At 54.4% G+C, this 19,520-nt stretch overlaps 1 protein-coding gene across 10 annotated transcripts in view, besides 4 other annotated features; it reads right to left on the bottom strand.

Annotated features, from left to right (window-relative positions):
* TRPM2 (transient receptor potential cation channel subfamily M member 2) overlaps window positions 1–19,520 on the bottom strand; it is a 92,504-nt gene that overhangs the window by 57,057 nt on the left and 15,927 nt on the right. For all 10 annotated transcript variants that reach the window (NR_038257.2, NM_001433516.1, XM_011529736.3 and 7 more), the window contains 6 exons: window positions 18,654–18,834; window positions 16,245–16,411; window positions 9,575–9,755; window positions 7,815–7,876; window positions 6,391–6,591; window positions 2,768–2,870 (listed from right to left, as the gene is read on the bottom strand). Coding sequence is in view for 9 of the 10 variants with exons in the window: in NM_001433516.1 (NP_001420445.1) it covers window positions 2,768–2,870; window positions 6,391–6,591; window positions 7,815–7,876; window positions 9,575–9,755; window positions 16,245–16,411; window positions 18,654–18,834 (895 nt within the window). In the remaining variant the exon portion in view is untranslated. The remainder of the gene's footprint in view (window positions 1–2,767; window positions 2,871–6,390; window positions 6,592–7,814; window positions 7,877–9,574; window positions 9,756–16,244; window positions 16,412–18,653; window positions 18,835–19,520) is intronic.
* Window positions 6,558–6,763: a silencer, noted in NCBI's record as "fragment chr21:45798708-45798913 (GRCh37/hg19 assembly coordinates)". NCBI's record gives its function as "represses an EF-1alpha promoter that drives an FKBP-Casp9 reporter gene in an ReSE screen in HepG2 liver carcinoma cells {active_cell/tissue: HepG2}" and the evidence as "EXISTENCE:reporter gene assay evidence [ECO:0000049][PMID:32094911]".
* Window positions 7,257–7,758: an enhancer, noted in NCBI's record as "H3K4me1 hESC enhancer chr21:45797713-45798214 (GRCh37/hg19 assembly coordinates)". NCBI's record gives its function as "activates a minimal SCP1, AML or CMV promoter by ChIP-STARR-seq in naive H9 embryonic stem cells {active_cell/tissue: H9 hESC(naive)}" and the evidence as "EXISTENCE:reporter gene assay evidence [ECO:0000049][PMID:30033119]".
* Window positions 7,759–8,258: an enhancer, noted in NCBI's record as "H3K4me1 hESC enhancer chr21:45797213-45797712 (GRCh37/hg19 assembly coordinates)". NCBI's record gives its function as "activates a minimal SCP1, AML or CMV promoter by ChIP-STARR-seq in naive H9 embryonic stem cells {active_cell/tissue: H9 hESC(naive)}" and the evidence as "EXISTENCE:reporter gene assay evidence [ECO:0000049][PMID:30033119]".
* Window positions 14,571–15,404: an enhancer, noted in NCBI's record as "H3K27ac-H3K4me1 hESC enhancer chr21:45790067-45790900 (GRCh37/hg19 assembly coordinates)". NCBI's record gives its function as "activates a minimal SCP1, AML or CMV promoter by ChIP-STARR-seq in naive H9 embryonic stem cells {active_cell/tissue: H9 hESC(naive)}" and the evidence as "EXISTENCE:reporter gene assay evidence [ECO:0000049][PMID:30033119]".

Below are 19,520 nucleotides of genomic sequence, written 5' to 3'. Positions count from 1 at the left end.
CTTCCTTCCCAATTTATAAGTTTTATTTCTTTTTCTTGTCTAATTGCTCTGGCTTGAACTTCCAACGCAATGTTGAATGGAAGTGGTGAAAGTATGCATCCTTCCCTTATTTCTATCTTGGAGGAAAAGATTTCATTTGTTCTTATTTTTCTAATTACTTAAGCTGTAAAGTTAGGTTGTTGGTTTAAGATCTTATTTTTTAATGTAAGCATGTATAGCTATAAATTTCTCCATTAGCACTGTTTTTGCTATGTCCCAGTCTTTCACCATTGAACATGATATTCGCTGGGAGTTTTTCATATATGGCTTTTATTACATCAAGGTAGTTTCCTTTTATTCCTAATTTGTTGAATGTTTTTACCATGAAAGGGTGTCAAATTTTGTCAAATGTATCAGTTGAGATAATCATGTTTTTTCCCCATCATTCTGTTAATGTGGTGTATTGATTAATTTTCATATGTTGAACCATCCTTGCATTCCAGGAATAAATCTCATGTAGTCATAGTGTATAATCCTGTTAATGCTACTGAATTTTGTATGCTAATATTTTGTTGAAGAATTTCGTATCAATGTTCATAATGGATATTGGTCTGTAGTTTTCTTTTCTTGTAGTGTCTGTCTTTGGTATCAGAATAATGCTGGCCTCACAGAATGAATTAGGAAGCCTTCCTTCTTGAATTGTTGGGGAAAGTTTGAGAAGGATTGGTGTTAGTTCTTTAAACATTTGGTAGAATTCACCAGTGAAGCTATCAGCCCTAAAACTTTTATGGGGAGATTTTTTATTACTGATTCAGTCTCCTTACTACTTATAGGTCTATTCAGAGTTTTGATTTTTTTATGATTTAGTCTTGGTAGGTTTTGTGCTTCTAGAAATGTGTTCATTTCATCTAGTGCTATGGCTTGAATGTTTTCCCCAAAGTTCATGTGTTGTAAATGTAATCCCCAGTATAATAATGTTGGGAGGTGGGGCCTAATAGAGGTGATCCATTACAGGGCAAAGCCTTCATGAATGGATTAATGTCTTATTTTGGGAGTGGGTTAGTTATTTCAAGAGTGGGCTTGTTATAAAAAGCAAGTTTAGCTCCCTCTTGCTTTCTTACTCTCTTTCATGCATCTGTGTGCTCCCTTACCCTTCTGCCTTCCAGTGGAAGGGCATGTATGTGCTGCCATTCTGGAATGACATGAGGCAGGCCCTTGCCAGATGCTGGCCCCTCAATTTTGCCAGATGCTGACCATCCTCTGGGAAGGCAAGGATGGTCAGTGATTGATTTATAAAGTACTAGGTAGTTTATAAAGTACTTAGTCTGTGGTATTCTGTTTTAGTCACATAAAACAGACTAACACATCTAGGTTATCCAACATGTTGGCATACAATTATTCACAGAATCCTTTTACTTCTGTAGAGTCAGGAGTAATGTCCCTACTTTCATTTCTAATTTTAGTAATATGAATCTTCTTTCTTTTTTCTTAGTCCAGTTAGCTAAATGTGTGTCAATTTTGTTGATCTTTTCAAATAACCAATTTTTCACTTTATTGATTTTCTCTGCAATTTTCTATTCTTTATGTCATTGATCTCTGCTCTAATCTGTACTATTTCCTTCATTCTGCTACTTTTGGATTTCATTTGTTCTTATTTTTCTAATTACTTAAGTTGTAAAGTTAGGTTGTTGGTTTAAGATCTTATTTTTTAATGTAAGCATTTATAGCTATAAACTTCTCCATTAGCATTGTTTTTGCTATGTCCCATAAGCTTTGATATATTGTGCTTTTGTTTTCATTGGTTTCTTGATTTCCTTTTTGATTTCTTCTTTCATCCATTGGCTGTGTAAGGTAGTGTCGTTTAGTTTCCACAACTTTGTGAATTTTCCACTTTTACATCCATTATTAATTCCTAACTTCATCTTGTTGTCAGAGAAGATAATTTGTATAATATCTATCTTAAATCTATTGAGAGATAAATTAAGGCTTAATTTGTGGTCTAATATGTAGTCTATCATCTCGCTGTTTGTGTGAGGTTTTATGCACAACATCAAGTCCTTGATAAGGGGAGTCTCAAATCAACACAGAAACAAGATGAAAGTCTGGCCTTTATCACAAAAGTTCCCTGCTGATCCCAGCCTGGGCCCACTCTGCTGAGCCCTTCAGAATCAGCCTGGGGCCTCCGACCCTGGAGGGTGAGAAGCCCAGCATCGGGCGGGAGGAGCACATATAAGACCAAGGCTTCCCAGTGTCAGGTGCCAGCTGGGTAAGACAAAGAGGCATAAGCCTTCTCTCCTGTGGCATGAGAAGAGGACAGTGATGTTTGTGGCCTGGAGAATGGGCCAGGCTAAGCAACAGAAGTTACACAGAGAGCCACTACAGCTCAAGTCCATCACACCATTCCTGAGGCCCTGCTCTACCTCTACACTCTTTCCTGCATCAGAGGTAGAGGAGCTAAAGCAGCCAGCAAGCAGGAAGTTGAGAGAGGCAACTTCTGCACTCTTTCTTTCCACCCTGAAGTTTTATGAGAAATTATGACCACTACAAAGGTAAAAATGACACAGGCTGCACTCGGATTCCAGTTACAAATAAAGGAGCTCATACCTCTAACATCAGGTGACAGGCAGGCGCCCACCTGCACGTCGCCAGCTGCCCTCTGGCCAGGGTTTCTGACCAAGGAGGAATATTCTGGTTCCCAGAATCATGGCACTTCAAGACTAGAACTTGGCGTCCTCAGAGCTCACGTTCTGGCCTCCACCCCATTGCCCCCATGTTCCCTGACCCTCACCTTTCAGCAAGGCCTGCAAGATGGCCACATCCACGTCCTGCTGACCATCCTTGCCTTCCCGGAAGACAGTCAGCAGCTGCCGCCTCCGGACGATATCTTGGATCTGCAACAAGCATTTTCTAAGTGAGACACACAGTGACTCCTGAACCCCTGCCTCCTCCAGGACACATAGAATTGAGGCCCCGGACACAGCCAGAGCCTTGGGTCCTGCCTGCGCTTGTGGCCAGGACACCACCACATCTCCTCTTGCCCTAGATGGTGCAGATGAAGATCCATGGGGACCAAATACATCATGTTCGTGAGAGTCTGTTGGGTGGAAAACACAATCCAAGGGCAACGGATCTTCACCCTGACGATAGTGCAGCTTCATGCGAGGCTGCTCCTCCTAGCCCTCCTGCTAAGCCCAGGCCACTCCTCACCACCTGCCTACCTGCCTATCTATCTGTCTACTTATTTATCTGTCTGTCTGTCGATCGATCAGTCTATCTATCTATCCATCTATGCATCTATCCATCTATCTATCTACATAATCTGATCTATCTATCCATCTATGCATCTATCCATCTATCTACATAATCTATCCATCTATAAATCTATCTATCCATCCATGTGTGTGTTTCATCTATGTATATATGTATGTATCTATCTATCTACCTATCCATCTATCCATGTATCCATCTATCCATCCACATGTATCTATCTATTGTCTAGCTATCCATCCATCCATCCATCTTTCCATCCATCCATACACACACCCACCTACCAACCATTCATCCATCCACTTATCTTTCTATCTACCTCCCACCCACTATCTATCTATCATCCATCTATCTATCTATCTATCTATCTATCTATCTATCTATCTATCCATCTATCTATCATATCAATTCATTCATCTTTTTTTTTTTTTTTTGAGACAGACTTTTTGCTCTGCCACCCAGGCTGGAGTGCAGTGGCACGATCTTGGGTCACTGCAACCTCCACCTCCTGGCTTCAAGCAATTCTCCTGCCTCAGCCTCCCAAGTAGCTGGGATTACAGGCACCCACCACCATGCCTGGATAATGTTTGTATTTTTAGTACAGATGTGGTTTCACCATGTTGGCCAGGCTGGTCTCAAACTCCTGACCTCAAGTGATCCACCCGCATCAACCTCCCAAAGTGCTGGGATTACAATTGTGAGCCACAGTGCCCAGTCCATCCATTTTATCACCTGTCTGTCTATCTATCTATCCATCCATCCATCCATCTAATCTACCTATCATCTAGCTACCCACCTATCCCTCCATCCATCCATCCATCCACATGGCCCACCCACCCACCCACCATCCATCCATCCATCTATTCATCCATCCATCTTTCCATCCAGCCATCCACACACCCACCCATCATCCATCCATCTATCTACCACCCACCCACCATCCATCCATCCATCCATCCATCATGGCATCCCTAGCAGGTATGTCTACTACAGTTACTCCTCCTTGAAGCACCTTCCCCCTGTGTCCAGGGCGAGCAACTCCACAAACGCATCTTCCCATGGCTCCCACTGCTCCCAAAGTAAGCCTCAGCCTTCTCCCTCTGGCTCCCCAGGCCAGCCACACCTGGCCTCCCCTGCTTCTCTCCTCGTCCGCAGCCTGGCCCCATTGCCTCCACATAGACTCTGCCCTCACCTGGAGGGCTCCTCACACTCCACCTCCATGCCTAAGACCCCAACGGTGCCCCATCCCTCGGGGTCCAGCTTTCATGACAACTCCAAAACACATCCTGAGCTCCCTGGCGAACTCCACCCTCATCCAGCAGCCAAAGGTCTCCTGGCTTTCAGCACCCCCATCCTCATACCGTAAAGCAGCTCCCAGCGTCTGAGCCCATAAAAGTCTCCTGGACTTCAGCCCGCCCTGTCCTCATAGGGTGAAGCAGCTCCCAGCGTCTGAGCCCATATGGACGCCAGGGCCTCGTTTCCTCGTCTGAGTCGAGCACTCAGTACCCCTACTTAACAGATGAGAAAGGCAAGGCTGAGCGAGGGTGGGCAACTTCTTCCTGGCCACAGCTGTGAGCCCCTGCAGGGAGGTCCCCGGGCCCCTCTGACGGGGCCGCCCACCAGCAGCAGCACCCGAGGGTAGCTCTGCAACTCCTCCACAGTGTAGACGGACACTCTGAGAAGGCGTGTTAAAGGAGCGCACTGACCCTGGCTGCATGGCTGGGCCCCTCCCCACTGAGCAGGAGCATCAGCGAATGCCGAGCCCCTGCTGAGGCCTGACGGCTGTGTGTGAAAGCACCACTTTCAGGGCCTTGGCTTGGCTATGGAGAGTGCATTAAAAATAGGCACCTTTCAACAACAGCAGATTAAACTCAGTTCTGAGAATTGCCTGAATAATTTATCAACCAGCAGAGAGAGGGCTCCAGGGCCCGCCCGACAAGTCCCAATGGCACCGGGAAGGAAGGAAAGCCGCCCTGACATGGGGAGCTGAGCGGCCGCTCACAGCCGGACCACGATGTTTTCACAAACTGATCTGACGCTTGCAGCTACATCATGTTATTCTCCTGCCGGACAAAAACGCTCTCAGAAGACATCTGTGCAGAACGAGGTCACTCTGAGACCATCGCAAAGCACAGAAGGAAACAAGGTCACTGTGCCACCCACAAATCACCAGTCAGAGAAACTCTGCTTCTGAATCGGCCAACGGGGCCAAGACCTCCACCCAGCCCTTCCGACACCCGTGGTTCCTGAGGGTGCTCATTTTTAATCCACTCTCCACAGGCCCAATCTGGCCAAATAGGTGTGTCCCTGCGGCCTGCAGCTGGGGGTCACCACTGCCCACAGAACCCAAATTCAACACAGTGGAAAGCGCATGTCAGCCACTCAGAACCTGGAGATGTCCCGGGTCTGCAGGAAAGACACAGACAGAGGGCTCTGCCGGCCCTGGCTTGCTGGGAAACTGAGGATGAAAAGGCCCCAGTGCCAGCCCCTGCAAAGAATCCTGCCAGGAATTGAGTCAGGTCACCCTGGAAGCAGCAGGCACAGGGAGGGGAGAGGCTCTCCACTGGAGCCCACCCCCCTGGTCAAGGGCTTGGTGGGGTGGCCAGGGCTGGCCAACCACGGCCCTTCACAACGGACCCCCTCTGGAGGCTGGGGTCATGGCAGGGGCCACCCAAAATCTACCCCTGGACTGGGGCAATGGCCCCTCCTGAGGCCACTCTACATGCCTCCATTAACTCACCTATGAGGCTACAATCTGGACTGGACCCTGCGACCCACAGCCATTGCTCAGCAGCTGCCCTGCTGCCCGACTCGGCTGAGGCCTCCCCAGCGCCTGCCTCCCACCCCTCCAATCCAGCAGACCCTTTTCACAGCACCACTGAGCCCCGCAGCGTTCCCAGCCCGCCCTGGTGTGCTGCGGGTGAGGTTCACACCCTCCTTTCACATGCTGTCTTGGGATCTGACCTCCGGAACCCAGCCAGGAGGTTTACCACCTGGGCCCTGCCCTCTGCAAATCGCTCTGGCACCCACTCAGACCCAGTGGGTTCTCCGCATCGGTCCATGAGTCCTGGTCCTGCCCACCAGGCTGACAGTGTCTCTGCAAAGCAGCCACATGCTGGTGACCGTCGTGCCCGTCAGCCTCACCTTTTTGGTCCACTCGACAATCCTGCTTTCCGTGAAGGTCTCAAACATCTCCTGGAAGAACACGCTCAGTTTCTGCTGGATCAGGGAGATAGTGATGTCCGAGACAGGCAGGTTGGCCACCTGGGCAATGACGTCGGCCACGCGGCCCGAGCCCTCCACAACCACACAGGGGGTGCCGTTGGTGGTGGCGTTGTCGATGGTCTGCAAGGCAGGTGGGGGTGTGAGCCCGGGACTGGGTCCTCACCGCTCCGATGCTTTCTGAAATGGAGAATTCTCCAAGGCCAGCTAAGGGCAGAGCTGGCTAACACTACTCCGAGATCCACTGAAAGCACTTATTAGTTTCGTGGCGTCCCCTGCTCTGGGGGAAGAGGGAGCTGCCCCAACACACTGGGGGCTGCACACCTGGCACCTCTCAGGCCTCAGCTCCAGCAGAATCAAAGACTCCCAGCATTTTTGCCCATGGACCTGCAGACGTGAGGGCCTCGCAGCAAAGGGGACGCTGCATGGACCTGGAGTTACCGACCTCATAAAAGCCCACAGTAAGAGCAGAGCCATGAGGAGGGCACCTGGGCTCCAGGGTGTGCTGGACTTCGGGAAGGGACTGGACACAAAGCTGTCTGGCAGGAAGGACTCTGCCGTGTGCATGAGCATCGGCCTGGGGTAAGGAGGCGGGTGCAGCCGCCCCAGCAGAAGAGCCGTGAAGGGTACTCGGCACGCATAGGGAGTGAGGACCCAGTGCTCTATGGATTCCCATCCAGCCTCAAGCCCCCAAGGCTCTGTTTTGACCTCCTGCAATCATGAAACATAAACGGGACATTGCCTGTGATCCCATCCTTCACAAAAGCCCATACTCTTGCTCCAGATCCTCAGGCTATATGTCCTCGTACATTCCTACAGCAGGTGAGGTCACCTCGCACCCTGCACGCCACAAAGCAGTTAGGGTTAGGGTCGGGAAGGAAGGCCGGCAGAGCAGCGCATTCAAGCTGCCTGCCAAATCTGCAGTCACACAGCTGCTGGCACCACGGATCTGGGATGGGGGCCACAGCCCTGTACTTTGAAAAATGCTTCCTGGAGGAATCTTGGGGGCAGAGTTGTAGAAACCCCCCAGCCTCCCCAGCAGGTCCTGGGAGCAGAGGCGCCCCACTCACTCCAGGCCCTGGGGCCCCACCCTTTCCTTCCACGCCGGTCAATGGCCCAGTCATAGCCAAGCCCAGCCTCCTCCTCCAGGCACCTTCCTCCGACCCGTCCTCCACCCACCCAGAAGCAGCCCCGACACAGCGTAGATGCTCTTTCTCTTCTTCTGGTGGGAAAGCTCATCGCCCTCTTGCCAACAGTCTTGAGTTCTGAGACAAGCACTTTTGGACAGTCATCTGCCTGCAGCAGGACGGGCCCACACATGCCCCCTCCCACCTGGCCATACTCACGTGCAACGTGCCCGGGCCGCCCTCCAGCACCACGCACACGATGGGGATCTTGATGGCCACACCTAGAAAAAGCACACAGCCGAGTGAGGGCCACACCTAAACAAAGCACGGAGCCGAGTGAGGGCCACACCTGAACAAAGCATGGAGCCGAGTGAGGGGACAGAGGTGGGGGGCAAGACCCTGCACTGAGGGCACTCTCCCCTGCCCCCTGCTGGCTCCAGCCTAACCACACACTGAAGCACCTGCTGGGAGGCCTCTTGCCAGTGCTGAGTCGCCGTTTAAAGTCAAAGCTCCACATTCCCAGGGGACCTGCCTGTTCCACATCAATGAGCAGACTCAAGAGCCCCCCGCCACCCACACTTCCCCGCTCGCTTGCTTCCCATCCACCCCTGCCTGCTTTCTTGGGAGGGAGGGAGAGGGGCTATGGACAATCAGAGCTGAGGCCCCAAGCAGGTGGCACAACCTGCCACGCGTGGATGCGAGCAGCATGCGGCACGTCCATCCTGTGTCCATCCGCCCAGCCCCACCCTGAACTTCATCCAGCCCAACAGCAGTGGAGCCTGAGAAGGACTTGGCAACCCCTTTCCCCAGGCAGCAAACTCTGTCTGTGAGCCCCCCATGGGCCCATCGTCTTCACACACTCACCCACACATCCCACCCCAGATGTCCTAGTCAAGCAGGTTCTCAAAGTGTGGTCCCTGAACTGCAGCATCGCCCTCACCAGGGAACGTGCTCCTACTAGTCAAGCAGGTTCTCAAAGTGTGGTCCCTGGTCCCTGAACTGCAGCATCGTCCTCACCAGGGAACGTGCTCCTACTAGTCAAGCAGGGTTCTCAAAGTGTGGTCCCTGGTCCCTGAACTGCAGCATCGCCCTCACCAGGGAACGTGCTCCTAATGCAAGTTCTCAGCCCACCTGGAGCTGCTGAGTTGGACCCTGGGGCTGGGGCCCACAAGCTGGTGAGGAACCCTCCAGGGGAGTTCGATGCACAAGGAACCCTGCAAGGGACCCCAGCCCACCCAGCCACAGGTCAGACACCTCCCGTTCACCATCTCCTCTTTGAACCCTCCTCAAGTGATATGCAAAACCCCGCACTTGACCTCCCGACGTCCTCAAACCCATCCCATCCCACCTATGAGGAAAAAGGTATCAAATCCTAAGTTTTGACTATCGTACATTCTGATTTCTGAACCTGAGAGCAGACCATGATCAAGGTTTAAAATAATTGTAGGGCCAGGCACAGTGGTTCAAGCTTGTAATCCCAGCACTTTGGGAGGGTGATGGGAGGATCCCTTGAGCCCAGAAGTTCGAGGCTACAGTGAGCTGAGATCACACCACTGCGCTCCAGACCCTGTCCCAAAAAAAATGTAGGTTGGCCCATTACCTGCGAGCACACAGGTGAGCTGCCAGCCCCCCAGACCGCCCTCCCACTGGCTAAAATGGGCAAGAGAAGATGACCCTCCTGGAACAAAGTATAAAGAGACACGGGAAAGAAACCCAGGTGTGTTCTGAGGACGTTCCGAGTACCATGAACATCCTGGTTGTGACCAGCTGTACCTGACAGTCTGACCAGCTCACCGCGCTCTCTGCCGAGTGCCACGAATGACCTGTGACCAGCTGTACCTGACACTCTGACCAGCCCACTGCACTCTCTGCCAAACGCCAGGCCTGTTGAACGTCCTGGTCGTGACCAGCTGTACCTGACACTCTGACCAGCCCACTGTGCTCTCTGCCCAATCACCCTCGAAAGCAAGCTCCCCTACCTCCTCTTTCCTTGGTCTGCTCCGATATGAACTTCTCCAGCCTGGTCCTCAGAGGAATCTCCACCCCGTACTGGCCGTGGGTCCCGTCGTCCACGAGGATGAAGTGAGAGTGGTTGCTGTCTAGGCAGGTCAGGTTCCCTTGGCCATCCTCATCCAGTATGTACTCGGCGGGGAAGCTGCCCTGGGATGGCCAGGAAGCGTCAGACACTGCTTCTGGAAAGCTCTGCCTCTCTAACGCGAGCAGGCTGAACACCGGCCCTCACAGAGACCAGGTCCCAGTCCCTGGAATCTGTGGACGTGGCCTTATTGGAGAAAGCGACTTTGCACATGTGATCGAAACATGAGATTAACTTGGATGATCCGAGTGGGCCCAAAATACCATCACAGGTGTCCTTACAGGAGAGAGGTGGTGGGGGACACACACAGGAGAGGAGGCCGAGGGACCACAGAGGCAGGGGCAAGTGACATAGCCACAAGTGGAGAAAGCCGGACCCCCCAGGAGTGGAGGAGGCGGGGAAACAGACGTGTGACCCTGACTTCAGAGTTCTGTCCTCCAGACACGTGAGAGACCACAATGCTGCTGTTTCAGGCTTGAGGCCATTTGTTACGGCAGCCACAGGAAACGGATACAGGTCTGGGGTGAGGAAGTGGGCTGCTGCTGCAACAAACACCTAAAAATGTGGAAGTGGCATTGAAACCGGCAATGGGGAGACGACGGGAGGATTTAGAAGCACCATGAATGGAAAACGTCTCAACGTCCTTGAAGAGAATGTTGGTGGGAATGTGGTATTAAAGGCCTTGCGGAGACGGGCGCGGTGGCTCACGCCTGGAATCCCAGCACTTTGGGAGGCCAAGGCGGGAGGATCACCTGAGCCCTGGAGTTCGAGACCAGCCTGGACGACATAGCGGATCTCATGTCTACAAAAATGAAAAAATTAGCCGGGCATGGTGGTGCACACCTGTAGTCCCAGCTACTTGGGAGGCTGAGATGGGAAGATCACTTGAGCCCGGGAGGTCAAGGCTGAGGATCGCACCAACATACTCCAGCCTGGGCAACAGTGAGACCCTGTCTCAGAAAAAAAACAACTCGCAGTAAGGGCTCAGAAGGAAGTGAGGAGCAGGGCAGAGAGGGCTTTGTTGCCCTAGAGCAGGGGTCCCCCACCCCCTGGGCCATGGACTGGTAATGGTCTGTGGCCTGTGAGGATCTGGGCTGCTCACAGCAGGAGGTGGGTGGTGGGTGAACGAGCGAAGCTTCATCCCTATTTACAGCCGCTCCCCATCGTGTGTGTGACTGTCCGAGCTCCACCTCCTGTCAGATCCGCGGCATTAGATTCTCATGGGAATACTAACCTTACTGTGAACTGTGCATGCGAGGGACCTAGGTTGTACTCCCCTTACGAAAATCTAATGCCTAATGATCTGTCACTGTCCCCCATCACCCCCAGATGATGGGACCGTCTAGCTGCAGGAAAACAAGCTCAGGGCTCCCACTGATCCTACATTATGGTGAGCTGTATGATTACTGCATTATATATTACAATGTAATAATAGAAATAAAGTGCACAATAAACGTAACGTGCTTGAATCATCCCCAAACCAACCGCTTACCACCCCGCCCCCATCTGTGGAAAAACTCTCTTCCACGAAACCAGTTCCTGGTGCCAAAAAGGCTGGGGACCGCTGCCTTAGAAAATATATATACGGGCCAGGCACGGTGGCTCACGCCTGGAATCCCAGCACTTTGGGAGGCCAAGGTGGGCAGATCAGTTGAGGTCAGGAGTTCGAGACCAGCCTGGCCAACATGGTGAAACCCCGTCTGTACTAAAAATACAAAAATTAGCTGGGTATGGTGGCACATGCCTGTAATCCCAGCTACTCGGGAGGCTAAGGTGGGAGATTTGCTTGAACCCGGAAGGTGGAGGTTGCAGTGAGCCAAGATCGCACCACTGCACTCCAGCCTGGGCAAAAGAGCAAGGCTCCATCTCAAAAAAAAAAAAAGAGAGAGAGAGAGAATACATATACTGGCATGAACAGAATTTTAGCAGAAAAATGAACATCACAGTTGCTTCTTCTGGTGAGGGCTCAGAAGGAAGTGGGAAATGTGGTACTGGAGACTGGAGGGAAGGCCAACTTTGCTGCAGAGTGACAGAAAGCCTGGCTGAATTGTGCTGTGCAGTTTTGTGGAGAGCAGAACTGTAAATGATGAACTTGAAGATTTAGCCGCAGAGATCTCCAAGCAAAGTGTTCAAGTTGTGGCCTGGCTTTTTTTTCTTGCTGCTTCTCACAAAATGCAAAAGGAAAGAGAGAAATTGAGGGAAAAACTGACAGACAAAATGGAACCAGGACTTGATGATGTGGGAAATTCTCAGCCTATCCGGGTCGCATATAATGCAGGTCGCATATAATGCAGGTCGCATATAATGCAGGTCGCATATAATGCAGGTCGCATATAATGCAGGTCGCATATAATGCAGAAAATGAAAAGAGATTCACTGTTCGAAAAGCAGACTCTAAAGAGAAGGCCAACGGCCAAGCGCAGTGGCTCACACCTGTAATCCCAGCACTTTGGGGGGCCGAGGCGGGCGGATCACTTGAGGTCAGGAGTTCGAGACCAGCCTGGCCAACATGGAGAAACCCTGTCTCTACTAAAAATACAAAAATTAGCTGGGCATGGTGGTGGGTGCCTGTAGACCTAGCTACTCAGGAGGCTGAGGCAGGAGAATCACTTGAACCCAGGAGGCGGAGGTTGCAGTGAGCTGAGATCGCACCACTGCACTCCAGCCTGGGCAACAGAGTGAGACTGTCTCAAAAAAAAAACAAAAAGAAAAAAGAGAGAGGGCCAAGGGTGTGTCTAAACAACCTCCTGCTAGTGATGAAGAGACCAGGCAAGGAGACTGCAATTCACTCAACCATCTCAGAAGCCAGGAGTGGAGACAGCATCACAGGAAAGGTCTGCAGAGCCCTTTTTGTCTACTGGCAGAAATTCCTATGGCATTCAAAGGAGGACTGCAAGGTTTTCACAAATGTTATATCAACAACAACACTGCAAATTTGGACTGAAAGGGACAGAGACGGGATAAAATGAAAGGTCGTCAGACTCCTTAAAATCTTCAAGCAGACTAAAAGCTATAACCTTCAGGGAAAAGGATCGTCCTGAAGGCAGGGCCGTGGACACAGAGCAGGGTAGGGGGTGCCCAAGCCACAGAGGGGTCTCCCCGGTCTTATCACCTAGTGCATTCTGCCTGCCGGGTTTTGGAATTGCCTGGGGCTGGTGATGCCTTCGTTCCTCCCGTGTTCCCCCATTGGGAATGAGAGTGTCTGCAGCTGTGATGCTACACCTGCTCTTCCCTTGTATTTTGGAGATAGGTGACTTGTTTTCTGGTCTCACAGGTGCACATATGAAGAGAAATTCTGCCCCAGAATGGATCAGACCCAGAGTCTTCAGCGTCCCTGACTTAAATGATGACATTTGGGACTTTTGAGCTGATGATATTTTTGTTTGTTTGTTTTGTTTTGCTTGAGACGGTGTCTCGCTCTGTCACCTGGGCTGGAGTGCAGTGGCACAACCTTGGCTCGCTGCAACCTCCGCCTCCCAGGTTCAAGCGATTCTCCTGCCTTGGCCTCCCAGTAGCTGGGATTACAGTCGCCTACCACCATGCCCGGCTAATTTTTTGTAGAGACGGGGTTTCTCCATGTTGACCAGGCTGGTCTCAAGCTCCTGACCTCAGGTGATATGCCTGCCTTGGCCTCCCAAAGTGTTGGGATGACAGGTGTGAGCCACCGCACTCGGCCAAGCTTATGATATTTACATGAGATTTTGATCTTGGAGTTTCTGCTGTAACAGGTTTGTAGTTGGAGGGGATCATTTTGTTTGGTTTGGTTTGGTTTAGTTTAGACAGAGTCTTGCTCTGTCACCCAGGCTGGAGTGCAGTGGCATGATCTTGGTTCCCTGCAACCTCCAGCTCCTGGGTTCAAGCAATTCTTCTGCCTCAGCTGGGATTACAGGCGCCTGCCACTATGCCCAGTTAATTTTTGTATTTTTAGTAAAGACAGGGTTTCCACCATATTGGCCAAGCTGGTCTTGAACTTTTGTCCTCAAGTGATCCGCCCATCTCAGCCTCCCAATGTGCTGGGATGACAGGTGTGAGCCCCCACACCCAGCCAAGATCTGGCAATGGTGTGAACATATTTTGCCTGTGGAGTGGACAGAAATCTTTGAGGTCAGAGGGAGGACCGCAGTTGGCTGAATCATGGCCACCCAAAGACATCAAGGCCTGCTCATGGACCCGGTAAGTGCTGCTCCTCATTTCCTTGTTTGGAAAAGCATCTTTGCAGATGTCAGTTAAAGATCTGGATATGAAGGCATCACCCTAGATGACCCTAGTGGGACCTACACGCCATCACGAGTGTTCTTACGGAACTCTTGGGGGAGATTTGACACAGGCACACAGAGAAGGCCACGGGACACGGAGGCAGAGACTGGAGGGAGGCGGCCACGGGACACGGAGGCAGAGACTGGAGGGAGGCGGCCACGGGACACGGAGGCAGAGACTGGAGGGAGGCGGCCACGGGACACGGAGGCAGAGACTGGAGGGAGGCGGCCACGGGACACGGAGGCAGAGACTGGAGGGAGGCGGCCACGGGACACGGAGGCAGAGACTGGAGGGAGGCGGCCACGGGACACGGAGGCAGACACTGGAGGGAGGCGGCCACGGGACACGGAGGCAGACACTGGAGGGAGGCGGCCACGGGACACGGAGGCAGAGACTGGAGGGAGGCGGCCATGGGACACGGAGGCAGCGACTGGAGGGAGGTGGCCACTGGCCAGGGAATGCCATCAGCACCCAGACGCTGGAGGCAGCAAGGAATGCTCTTCCCCTAGGCCCTAGAGGGAGGTGGCCCCGCCAACACCGATGGCTGGATGATGGCCAATCGACGCGGATTCCAGATCTGATAGACTAAGTTTCTGCTGCTTTAAGCCACCAGGTTTGTGAGCCTGGGTTACAGCAGCCCCGGGAGACAGACCTAAGGGAGGGCGGCAGCCGGGCTGGGACACACACCCTCCGCCGTCCACAGAGAGGGAGCGTGGCTGAGCGGAAGCAGCCACAGTCCCATTCCGCCACCAACAGTGGTGTCACGGGAAGTCGTCTGAACTCAGCGTGGGGAGGAAAGTAAGGAGTGACCTGGGACGTCACCCAGCCGCTCCTGGCTTCAGTTTTTCAATTCGTAAAAAGAGCAAACAAAGCCCAACAGCTGGTCCAGTCCGACCCCGCCGGACACATTCATGATTCTGACGCAAAGGAAGGCGAAGGCCGGGCTGGGGCTGGCCAGTGCTTGCTGGGCCCCTCGTGGGCATCTGGGAGTGTCCTCTGCCCGCCCGGGGAATGGACGCACAGTGTCCGTGTCACTGTCAGAGGAGTAAATCACCCCTCGGGGTAACAAGGGAACCTGCTCAGTGAGTCACAGGCCAGTGTTCCCTGGGCTTTCCTGACCACGTGGATTCAGGGGCACACACGCATCATACCAAAGTTAGTGTGTCCTTGGAAAATCTGGTTGAATGACTCATTATCTGTCCCAACTCAAGGCTCCGGATTAAAGCAACTGCTTCTCCTGCGTCCAGTTAATCAGAGGCAGGAGTGCTCCGTCCTCAACCTTGACGGAGAAGCTGGGGGTGGGTGCTGGCTGCCAGGGACCACAGCACAGTGGGATTCCCGGCTGCAGGAGACCTCTGAGTACAGGGACTCAAAGTGCTAAAAGCTCCGGTTCGGGGTCGGATCGCCCTGGCTCAGCCCCACCCAGCTGCCTGCTGGCCACGCCCCCTCCCTCTGCTCTGTTAGCGGAACCCTCGCAGCGAGTGACTGTCACGTGGACCCCTCTTACAACCTTGAGGGAGATACCAGAGTCCAGCCAAGTTAGCCGTTTGTCCGGGGTCACCTGGGTCAGGGGTGGGCCGGGAGTTGCACCCAATCTCCTGAGTGTGCCCGCCTCCCCCGCACACTCCACCTGCTCCTCACAGCACCCGGTCAGACGTCACCCACACCCCGCCTCCCCCGCACACTCCACCTGCTCCCCGCAGCACCCGGTCAGAACTCACCCACACCCCGGCCCCCGCACACTCCACCTGCTCCCCGCAGCACCCGGTCAGACGTCACCCACACCCCGCCTCCCCCGCACACTCCACCTGCTCCCCGCAGCACCCGGTCAGACGTCACCCACACCCCGCCTCCCCCGCACACTCCACCTGCTCCCCGCAGCACCCGGTCAGAACTCACCCACACCCCGGCCCCCGCACACTCCACCTGCTCGCCGCAGCACCCGGTCAGACGTCACCCACACCCCGCCTCCCCCGCACACTCCACCTGCTCCCCGCAGCACCCGGTCAGACGTCACCCACACCCCGCCTCCCCCGCACACTCCACCTGCTCCCCGCAGCACCCGGTCAGAACTCACCCACACCCCGGCCCCCGCACACTCCACCTGCTCCCCGCAGCACCCGGTCAGACGTCACCCACACCCCGGCCCCCGCACACTCCGCCTGCTCCCCACAGCGCCCGGTCAGACGTCACCCACACCCCGGCCCCCGTACACTCCACCTGCTCCCCACAGCGCCCAGTCAGACCTCACCCACACCCCTGGTCTTAGGCTCCCCTCCCTAGGGGGCCGCACTCACCGTGGGATGGATCAGGCCCTCGCGGCGGTGGACAGTGCCCCAGGTGGCGACTCCGATGGTGATGAGCTCGCCTTCCTTGTAGCTGCTGCTCAGGCTGAAGTCCCGCACCGCCTCGCCTACCTGCTTCATGACGCCGGTGTGGGACCCCCCTGTGATGATCCAGGCCCCTGGGGAAGGAGCACGGGTGGGCAGGCCCCACAGCACTGAGGGGCACCTGACACCCAGGAGCCTGACGCCTGAGCCCTTCTAGGCTCAGCGATGCCCCGCCCCCAACAACGCAGAGCTCCTCACTCAGGGGCTTTCAAACCAGCATCAGGTGTAAGGAACCGAGGTTCCCACGCGCTCAGGTGGGGTGGGAACAGGAGCAGGCCCCGCCCCTCTCCCGGTCCCTGCCGCCTCCTCAGGCCCCAGTCTCAGGATCGCGGTTCTCAGCACCTCTCTGCATTCTTGTATTTTGCTTTCCCTCTTCCTCCCAGCTTTCAGGACCCAGGTGCGGCAGAGTGCTTCCTCGCTCCCAACACTCAGCCTGGTCCCTAGGAAGGATGCCCCTCACCTCCCACCTGCCATCTGCTGCTGGTGGTTTGCAGCCACCCCTGTAAGAAACACACCTCCGGCCGGGCACGGTGGCTCACGCCTGTAATCCCAGCACTTTGGGAGGCCGAGGCGGGCAGATCACCTGAGGTCAGGAGTTCGAGACCAGCCTGGCCAACATGGTGAAACCCCGTCTCTACTAAAAATACAAAAATTAGCCAGGCATGGTAGCACACGCCTGCAGTCCCAGCTACTCAGGAGGCTGAGGCAGGAGAATTGCTTGAACTCAGGAGGCAGAGGTTGCAGTGAGCTGAGATAGCGCCACCACCACTGCACTCCAGCCTGGGTGACAGAGCAAGACTCCAACTCCAAAAAAAAAACAAAAAAATAAAAAAAACAGCCAATCAGCCAGGCATGGTGGCTCACGCCTGTTATCCCAGCACTTTGGGAGGCCAAGGCAGGAAGATTACTTGAGCCCAGGAGTTCAAGACCAGCCTGGACAACATAGACCTTGTCTCTACAAAAATTAGCCTGGCATGGTGGCATACGCCTCTAGTCCCAGCAACTCAGGAGGCGGAGGCAGGAGTATCACCTGAGCCCAAGAGGTCGAGGCTGCAATGAGCTGAGATCGTGCTACTGCACTCCAGCCTGGGGAACAGACTGAGACCCTGTCTCAAAAATAAATAGATGGATGGATGGAAGGATGGAGATAGATAGATAGAAAGATAACAATTGAAAAGGTGGTACTGGCTTTGGGCCAGGAAGCGGACAACAAGGACACGGATATTGAAAGCTAAAAAAATGCAACATCAAGACCTGGAGCAGGTGAGACCTGAACAAATCCATGGCATTATTTGAGGCAGCAAAGCTTCAGAAAGAGCCTGTGGGATGGTGACCTGCGTTAAACCCAGTCCCATGTGACCAGGCTGAGAAAAGGTCTGGTCATTTTACAAGCAGGGCTGTGGGACTCACAGGTCAAAAGATGCAGCCGTGCCTCACGCTCACCAGGCAGACAATGAAACTGAGGACTCTGTGAGCCATGCAGGCCAAGTCAGGCTCAGTTACGACTCCACTGCGAGGCAAAGACCAGACCCCAGACCCCAGGAAGAGCAGGGTGACTCTAGGCCCATCCGGACGCAACATTGCCAAGTAGTCACCTCAGGGCCTCACTATTCATCCACAGTCCCCTCCAGGGAGGCCCAGGGAGCCTTGAGGACTTGGGGCCCCCTCCCCATGGAATTAGGGTGGGGCGGGGCACCAGGTCACGGCACCTGGGATCTCACACCATCCACCAGGACTGGGTCCCTGCCTGGCTCTCACCAGTGGTGCAACCTTGGGAGGTGATTTGACTCCAACCAGGCAGTTGCCTTAAGTGAAGAGATGGAAATAATAATGCTCCTTCCCTGATTTTGATGGAAAAACACGATAATGGAAAGCTTGATGACTGGGAACTCTCGCTGACCCCCTACAAATGGCCTGCAGTGCTGGCCCCAGCCGTGCACCCAGGCCACCGAGGTTCTCAGGCCACCAAGATTCCCAGGCCACCAAGGTTCTCAGGCCACCGAGGTTCCCAGGCCACCAAGGTTCTCAGGCCACCAAGGTTCCCAGGCCACCAAGGTTCTCATCTCTGCTTGGCCCTGGGCACCAGCAGGGCCATGCACTGAGCCATCTCCAGCCCACAGGCAAGCCAGTGGGAGCATCGGGCGTCAGGGAGCAGCTGTGCCCAGGTGAGAGGTGCATGGGTCCGACTCAGGCTGGGGCACAGCCTCGGCGGCTCCCAGGGACTTTTTGGGTCCTGATGGCCCTGATTGCCCCAGCACTGCCTCCACAGCCCACCCCACCCGCCGGGGCCTCGTGTCCCTCCAGCCTCCGAGTTACCTGTGGTCTGAGCCACCTTGACCAGGCCTCTGCGGAAAATGCTCTTCAGCCGCGGCTTCATGTTGAAGTTCTTGGCCCCCCCGGTCACCGAGATCAAGAGATTGGGGACGTCCAGCCCCCAGTGCTGGGTCATGAGGTGGTAGATCACGCTGGAGGGCGTGTCCTGGGAGACTCGGACGTACTGCGGGAAAGGGAAAACGGCGGAGGGAACCTGTGTGTCAGTGGTCAGGGACAGCACCGACCCACACAGGCCATGCAGAGAGGCCCCAGCGGGCGGCAGACACCGCACACCTTTCCGGCTCAGACCCAGAAAAGGGGTCCCCATGTGGGCAGGGCACAGATCACGAGAGAAGAGGGAGGCAGAGAGGCCCAAGCCAGGAGCATCAGGCCATCCTTTGGGGACCAGGATCGCCCTCAGCAAACCTCCCCCAGCCCTCGTGCCCCCACGGCACCCACTTTTTCCTCTTCCTCTCGATTTTGGGAGCGCCTCCCAAACATGCGCCAGCACAGACTCCAATTCCCGCCGTAGCGCCTGGGCCCTGCCTCCCCCGGGTCTAATCAGCTCCTGCACCGGGGTCTCTGCCCTTCTGTCCTTGTGCACCCAGCACTGCCCCCTCTCCTGTCCCCTCTCCTGTCCCCTCTCCTGTCCCCTCTCCTGTCCCCTCTCCTGTCCCCTCTGCCCTATCCCCTCTGCTCTGTGGCCCCTGTGCCCTGGCCCGTCCTGGGGACTCAGTGGGCCCAGCTTCCTCTGCCTCCCGTCTGAACACGGCTCTCCCAGGTTCTGTCGTCACTCTGGCCCCCCGTCCTCCAGGAGACCCTCCCAAGTACACAGCGGACTTTCCCTGTTCCGCTAGGCGGGCTGTGTCT

This window comes from Homo sapiens, chromosome 21, assembly GCF_000001405.40.
Source record: "Homo sapiens chromosome 21, GRCh38.p14 Primary Assembly".
Classification (NCBI taxonomy): Eukaryota; Metazoa; Chordata; class Mammalia; order Primates; family Hominidae; genus Homo; species Homo sapiens.
This window is presented reverse-complemented; position numbering and strand designations above follow the sequence as displayed.